This window comes from Homo sapiens, chromosome 13 (assembly GCF_000001405.40).
Source record: "Homo sapiens chromosome 13, GRCh38.p14 Primary Assembly".
Lineage (NCBI taxonomy): Eukaryota > Metazoa > Chordata > Mammalia > Primates > Hominidae > Homo > Homo sapiens.
In genome coordinates this window covers 68184035-68192635 of record NC_000013.11, presented here as the reverse complement: position 1 = coordinate 68192635, position 8601 = coordinate 68184035, and the positions used below count along the sequence as shown (strand labels likewise).

Here is an 8601-nt window from a genome sequence, read left to right as displayed (position 1 = left end):
TTCACAATTTCCCAGTGAAATAGCTGAGCCTCCATCTGATCAACAAAACGTAAAGCTCATCCATCAACTTCTGTCCCTGCCCACAGAATTTTCTGTAATTTTCTTAGAATCTCATACTTAACTGTGACAGGACACCCACAAACCACCAGACATTTAAGGAAATGATTAAAGAAAGTTCTTGCCATAAAATATTTAAGCAAGACAAACTGGAACAATGAAAGAATTTGAGGAAAGACAGAAAAATACAAGAATAAGAAGAAAGTTTAAAAATCATCCAAAAGGTAAGATATCCCATCCAGTAAAAAATCAACACTATTCTAAAACATATTTTAGATCATAAGAAAAAACATCATTAGAATTTAAAAATAAGACCAACTGAGTGAAATGTAAATTTGAAACTATCAGCTAGAAAATAGAACAAAACAATGAATTTAAAATGAAAATAATAAGACAATGTGAAGATCACTACACTTGACTAAAATGATTTGGATATCAGGAAAAGGGAAGAAGAAAATGGAAGTGAGGTTACCATCAATGTAATAATATAAAAATGATTCCCAGGCCTGGTTAATATAAGTTTTCAGATTCAAAGAGCCCGGAGAGAGGCCAGCAAAATGAAATTTAAAAGATCCATAACAAGACAAATCATTGTGAAATTGCAAAACAGCAGGGATAGAGAGAAAATCCTAAAAGCTTCTGGAGAGAAAGATTAAAAAAAATAGGTCATCAACAAAAAAGCATAAAAGGAATTGCATTTTTAAAATAGCAACTGTAGAATCCAGATTTATGAGGTCACTATAAACTTAAAGCTTCCAGCAGCCATTTTGTCTCCTTGTTGGCAGAGCCTATCTAGAAAGAAGGTAGCTGAAACAAACATATGCAGGAGATGAAAGAGGTAGATCAATTTCTAATGACCTCATTGAACCCCAAATTCAGCCATGCTCAAGGCGACACCTACTGTTTGGGCATGCACGATTTATGTGATAATTAATTATCTTTTTTTGTTTAAGTTAGTTTTAGTTGGAATTCTGTCACTTGTACTTGAAAACATTCTGACAAATACAAGTAGATTTATTATTGTTACTACATACATACACATATACAAACATATATAACATGTGCATGCATGCATGTGCATATATAAAACATTTACCTCTTGTATTAATCAGGGTTCTTCAGAGGAACATAACTAATAGGATATATGTATATATGAAAGGGAGTTTGTTAGGGAGAATTTGCTCACACGATCACAAGGCAAAGTCCCATGATAGGCCATCTGCAAGCTGGGGAAGAAAGAAGCCAGTAGTGGCTCAGTTGGAGGCTAAAAGCCTCAAAAGCAGGGAAGCTGACGGTACAGCCTTCAGTCTGAGGCCAAAGTTCTGAGAATCCCTGACAAACGACAGGTGTAAGTTCAAGAGTCCAAAGGCCGAATAACCTGGAGTCTGAGGTCCAAGGGCAGGAAGAATGGGAGGAAGCATACAGCACAGGAGAAAGATGGAAGCCAGAAGACTCAGCAAGCCAGGCTCATCTCACCTTCTTCCACTTGCTTTTTCTAGCCTTGCTAGCAATTGATTGGACCCACCCACATTGAGGGTGAGTCATCCTCTCCCAGTCCACTGACTCAAATGCCAATCTCCTGTGGCAACACACTCACAGACACACCCAGGAAAAATACTTTACCGGTTATCTAGGCGTTCTCCAATCCAATCAAGTTGACACCTAGTACTAACAATCACACCTCTTAACACATTCAAAATGTAAAATGTGTATTTCGTGTCAATTTACTCATAGATCAGAAATGGGACCATCTTGGGAAACATCAAGCATCCTCTATTAGATTTATGTGTGAAGAGGTATTCCAGACATTTCACTGGTTCCTGTGGACAGATGCATAGAGGAGTGTGGGAATTGGTAAGGTAAACATGAAAACAGTATGTCTTAGGACAGAGTCCCGGGAAGTGGAGCCTAGGATGAGAATTTGTGAGCAAATAACTTATTAAGGGAATTTTATCAGGGGACACGCCAAAAGGGAATCAATAAAGCAGAACAGTAGGGAGTAAGCCAATCAAGAGTGTGGTCTCAGGCATAGTCCTCAAAGTGGTAACTACGGATTGAGTACAAGTTATGGCACAAAATTGTCCTGACCTCTGTCAAGGAATCTGGTGGGGGGCGGGGGTGGGGGGGGGCTTGCTTTTTCCCACACCTGTAAGTCCTTAGTTAATGACCACCCATGGGAAATACAAATTCCTGGACACTTCTGACTTTCTAGGTTGTGGACAGAACAGGCTGGAGGAACTGCAGGTGCTAGCTGTTGGAGGCAAAGCCATCCCAAAGCGATTTGATACTGTTTTACATCAAACAATACACAACATGGGTCTTTTTAGGTGGGAAACAACCTAATCTTCTAAGTCAGAAACAGACGAAAACAATAGAAAAGCTAGGACATCTAAATTAGATCATTAAGAAACTGAGAAGTTTGAGAGAGCATCTACCCTGATCATCTCTTCCCCACAACCTGGAGGGAAATTGGCCTGCTGTTGATGTTTTCCCATCTCTTGAATCAATTACAATATTGCAAGTTTAAAGCCCAGTGTCTGACTGGCAAGTGGTCACTCCTCTTAAGCTTTGCGTTAACAGGAAGTGTTTTCCACACTGATGCTTTTCAATCCTCTCCCCTGTCAGCCTATCCCACAGGAATTCTCAAATTCATAATGATCGAAGCTGGACTCCCTCTCCTCATACAATTAGAAACTTGTTTTTCCTAGGTCTCTGATCTTGGTGATTTGAACCAATAAACTCCCAGTTGTCCAAGTTGGAAATGGAAGTGCCATTCTTAAATTTGTCTAAATTATCTTTCTGCTAAATCTGGTCTGGCTTTATTCAGTCTTGCTTCATTTCAGTTCTCCCTATGACTGTTAGATACTTTTTTTTTCTTTTTAAAGTATACATCTGATCATATCACTCCTCTAATTAAACATGTTCACTGGCTCCCTACTGATTCTAAACTTGTAATTCCATCTCCCAAAATCCTGCTAAACTGCCACATCCAATTTTTGGCACATTTGTCTTATATTCTTATGTTGTAGCATACTGAAGAATTTTCAGTTTACCAATTTGATAGACTGATTTCCTTGACCCTGTGTATATGCTATACTTTTATCTGGAAATAGTTTTCCCTTTGCTCTCCTTCTCTATCCTATACAGACTGACTTTTTCAAATATAGTCCAAACATTTAAATAACTATTTTTCAGGGAAATTCTTACAATTAAAATGTTTAGTTGCCCCTCCTATGAGCTAGTTTAAGCCCTTCTTACTCTAATCATACTTTGTTTTGTATTTTATTTTACTTTTCATTGTTCACAATCAAGTTTTAAGACCCTTGACAACAGAGAAAGTGGCCTATTCTTCACTGAGTCATGGTAAGCAATATACTGCCTGACAGTACCCAGTGAAGTTTTGAATGAATTAATAAAAACATGAAAATATTTTTCTATTTTACTTGTCTAAAAATATAAGTTCAGGGTCCTTGTAAAACTCTCTCTTTTTTTTCCCCTTTTCTTTGACTTTCATCAGTGATAGCTCCTGGGTAATCTGGTGTCACTGAATAACCTTAAATTTAATTCTGTCATATCAGCCTCTGCCTAGAGTGAAATAAATTATAAAAAAGATCATCGGGTTCTTAATAGATTTGAATACTTTCCTAGATAGTTCACAGCTTGACAGGCATTTGTCATAATCAACAGGAGACACTTTTGTGCTCGTAATTACTTTAAAAACACATCAAATAATCTAATTGTCCAATGAAGTGAGAAAATGCAAGTGACAACAGCAAAGTACTCACATTAGATTTTGAGGGTTTATAAAGCTGCAAAAACTGTTGATGGATGAGCTTTTTTCATGATTTCTCTATACACACAAATTCTCTCAAAGTCAAACAGAGAAATATATATGCAGGGATACAAAAGGGGGATCTTCAGTCTCCTCTAAGAAGGGAGGTAATGAGCTATCATGTGGCTTTGTTTAATTACTTTACTGACCTTTCCTCTTGCCCAAGCATACTACATATAAACACACATACACATATGCGTAAATGTGCATACACACACACAAATATACCCACATATATCCTCTCCTCTATATCATGCTACCATGGAAGACAGAATAACCCTGCAGCTAAAGATAATATATTACTATAAAGAATCCATGTAAAAAAAAGTCAGACATTTCTGCAATCCCTTTGTAATATCAATATATTTATATTTCTTATTCCTTAGTAGAAAAAAATGCTTCAAGTGGTACTGGTAAGCACACTGCCTCAGCAATTTCAACACAAAGCACTGCAGACTCGTTTCTTTTGTCTAAATTCCATTTTCATGGAGCTATCAGAGACTTCACAAATAAAACTTCTGTGTCTCTGGAGTGGGAGTGTTTGTGCCTAATCACCCTACTTTGCCATACTTTTAGTAAAAAAGGCAGGGTCCTAATCACAATTCGACTGGTTTAGCACATACTTGCTCACGAATCCTTTCAAAAAAGCGAAACTGTCCTACATATATATTCATCATTTGACAACAGACCCTCAAATCTACTGCCAGTACAGGCCGGCAATTCAGTACTATGTAAACAGTTAATATCTTACTTTAGAATTTCAAATATTATCATAATACTTTAAGATGTATTTTTTCCTCTATGAGTATAGTTTCAGTGAGCTTAGGAAATTTAGAACAAGTCATACATTAGCTATTTCATCTTCTGATACACTAGGACCTAGTGCCCACCTCTGGTTCAAATATGGTCCAGCCTAGGGACTTAGGACTTTCATCTTGCTTGTTTCCTTCTCTCCTCTAGAATGACATTTTTTTTTTCCACAAGTATACTTTTCCTTCTTTTTCCTTGCTGCCATTATGAGCTCCAGATATAGAATACAATGATTATACCGCCCTCCATTTGTGCACTGATCTCTTCACAGGAATTCAGGTAATGTGTTAGGGGCACCCCCTCCATATTCTTTACCTTCTCCCACCCTCACTAGGAGCACACACCTCTGAGACAAGGTGTCTTTGCCTTTTCATTTATTGAAGGAGGATGGGGAGGGTAGTTTTGACATATAGGCTTCTATTGCCAACAATAAAGACTAAATTTTGCAGAAATAGAAACATCAGGCTATTCCTGAATGGATTAGATATCTGTTAGGCAGCACAAACCATTCTTTATTTGCGTATCCTCTGAGAATAGAGTACTAATAGTTGAGATGTATCAAATTGATTAAAATATAAGTATAATGATTTATTCTCAGGTGTTGTGCTAAACTTATTATGTAGCTTTCTTGTTCTTTTCTTGTTATTCACTAGTAAAAGATCTCATTTATAATTGCCTTCACGTTGTTTTCCTGATGAGAATCAGAGTTTACCTAGTGGACCCAAACCCAAGTCCTGAGCTTCCTGATATTCTAACTTATTCAGGAATTTGGTTTGTCTCAGAATTCAAAGTACCAGAATGCATAAAAATACACTAGCTAGAAATCAGTTTGGGGTATGCTCTAGGAGAGAGAACAGAGAGTTCTGAAATCCATATGGAGAAATGAAAGCAAAAAATCTCTCTAGAACTCATGTTTTATTTAATTGGTAATATTTCAGCAGGAAGAGAAAAGGTGCTATAAGTTACTTTCTATCAATGAAAAATAAATATTTTATTTTGGCAGTGCTACATGACACAGATGTAAAAAATCACCTTTATACTCATTGTATTTAGGTGAAAATTTCTGACTTCTAAGAAGAAACTGCAATATATTCATTCAGAAAGCAAATAATCTGTGATACTAATTAACATTATATTTTATATGTCCTATTTGTTCAAATTAATTCTTATGACTATTAAACCACGTTTGAATTTCAAAACTGAACAAAACAATAGAAAGTTATAGCCATCAACTAAATGTATTGGGATTTGAGAAAAGTAAATGTCTTTGCCCAGAATAAAAAGTATTAGCAGCAATCATAAGCACAGGAAAAATGATATATTTGTATAAATGTTTTTGAAACATTTCCAAACTTATTTCCTTTTTATTCCACAAGTATTTTTGTAAGAAGCCTAAGTGTGTTTTTTTAAAACTATCTTAGAGGATAAAAATCAGAAATCTGGTGTGATTAGTCAATTTACTAAAAGTTATACAATTAGGAATTAAGTAAGTTTACTTCTCTACTCAGGTCCAGGGATGGACTTGAATTTCACTGTATTTTTTTTTATTCTTCAGTGAAAATACTTCTTAGTCATAAGAATTATTTGGGCCTTTTGTTTAAAACACAGATCCTGAAATGCCTGCCCTTGAAATACTGATTCAGTAGGCTGAAAAAAAAATAAACTAAGGCATTGTCCTTCAGTACTTCATAAAATTAACTTGGAATACAGAATTCCTATAATGTTTTTTATTCATTAAATAAATCTAAGTAGTCTTATTTAGCTAAGACAATAAACATTTGCTGAGCACTAAGATTGCCAGAGCAAAAACTGAGACAATAACAGCAGAAATATGGGGAGGTACTGAGGGACACACAGCAGCAGCATCCAGATGCTCTCATGCCTAGATATAATCCAAGTTCAATTTGTCAAATAAGGACCAGGAGACCAATCCAGAAAGGAAACAAATGAGAAGCATGTGTTTTTACTTTTTCAATGCAGACATGACATAGGAAATCTTTCTTATCGAAATTGAAAGCAAGATCACATGTAAATTGCAGAGTAGTAATTTGAGAGTACAATATGTAAAATATGCCAGTGTGAATTACAAACACATTAAGTACTTTAGACAAGCCATGCTTAAGAAATGTGAATCTCTGGGGCAAGATGTCATTAGAACTAATAAGCTAGCAGGATTTTCAAAGAAACTGGGTGTTATGAAATACTTGTAACTGCACCAGATAGTCTCACAAATAAAACAACATTATGTCTCATATCATAAACTGATTGTGTTTAAGAATATCCTTGCTTTCCTTGGCTGTTGTAAAACTGACATAAAGTCTCGTGTGGGTAGCTTTATTTTCATCTCGTGCAAGAGGAAAATTTATCAAGGTTAAAAGAAGAATCTAAGACCAATGAATAGTTCATCCAAATGACAAAGATTTGCCAACACTATAATTCATTTGATATGTTTTTTCCAATGCTTTTAAAAATACACAGCAAATAAAACTTAAAATCCAAGAATTGTAAATACTATAAACCTAAGTAAAAAATAAATGATCATTTATATTTCCATCAGGGTTTAAACTGAAACTTTCTTAAATATGTTTGTTGTGATTTTTTTGATTTTCACTCAGAGGGTCATAAAAATTGAAAGAGATTTCCCTTGACATTCCTTCACATTAAAGATTTTCTTGCTAGTGACAGATTGGATAGTACTAAATATTAATAATAAAATAAAATAAAAATAAAAATTTGCAGCTTAAATTACCCAGGAGAAACACAGAATTAGAATGTAACAGAACTATATATGCTATTAATACCATGTTGCAAGTAAAACTATATGAATAACTATGGAATAATCAAGTCCCATCTGCTTTGTTTATTTCAATATATTATTTACAACATTTTACAGGAATAAAGTGCTATGCAAATACATAGGAGGCAAGAGATCTAGGCTCCGGGGCCAAATCTGATTTTTAATAGTAGATAGCCTTAAATAGACACATTACACTCTCTATAACTCTGTCTCCTCTTCTGTAAAATAAGGGATGAGCATTGGAAAACTGTCGCATTACAGATAACTATACATACATTATATAGTATTTTACTTTAAATTTACAAAACTATATCATGTTAGAGTTATTGCAAAAATGGCTCTAATTCTCCACTGTTCTTTCATAATGGGACTTTCTACTCCTTCTTTCAAAGGATAAATATGTCCCCATTCCTTGAGTCTAGATGGGCCTAGCAACTTGCTTTGGCCAATAAAAAGTTATGGATGAGATATTGTGCCAGATTTGAACCTAGTCCTCAAGACACTCTGTGGACTTCCACTCTTTCAAAAGGATTCCAAAGGAAAGAGGAAAGTTTATTCCAACATGAGAGAACATGCAAAGCAGACATGAACAGTCCCAGCAAAGGACATCCTAAACCAGCCCCCAAGTGACTTGCTAGCTGGTTGCAGATCTGTAAATGAAGTGAGGCACGACGAGCCAAGCTCAGCCCAGATCAGCAGCTTGACTCAGATGACCAAATAGACTCCTGAGCAATAACAAATGGTTATTGCTTTAAGCCTCTGAGGTTTTTTGGTGGTAGTTTATTATCCAGCATTATTGTATTAACAACTAAATTATCCATCGATAATGTATGTATGATTATCCTCCTCCCTTTTTTATCAATTAGGAAAACTAGAACTTAGAAAAGTGAGCTAACTTGCTCAATATGAATAAGTAGAAAAATTATGATCCCAAATCATATGCTTTTCACTAAAGAACAGTGTATCTACATTTTTATGGGGCTTATAGTCATGCCTACCAATCAAATTATCATAGGGCACAAACGTCCTTCAAAAACTGCAAGAAAAACATAAATTATAACTGTTATCATCCAATGCCATACTTAATTAAATATACTCAATTACG

General features: G+C 35.3%; 1 annotated feature.

The window, feature by feature from the left end:
* Positions 924 to 2123: an enhancer, noted in NCBI's record as "P300/CBP strongly-dependent group 1 enhancer chr13:68764645-68765844 (GRCh37/hg19 assembly coordinates)". NCBI's record gives its function as "activates an origin of replication core promoter dependent on BRD2, BRD4, P300/CBP, MED14 and CDK7 cofactors, with strong dependence on P300/CBP, by STARR-seq in HCT116 cells {active_cell/tissue: HCT116}" and the evidence as "EXISTENCE:reporter gene assay evidence [ECO:0000049][PMID:35650434]".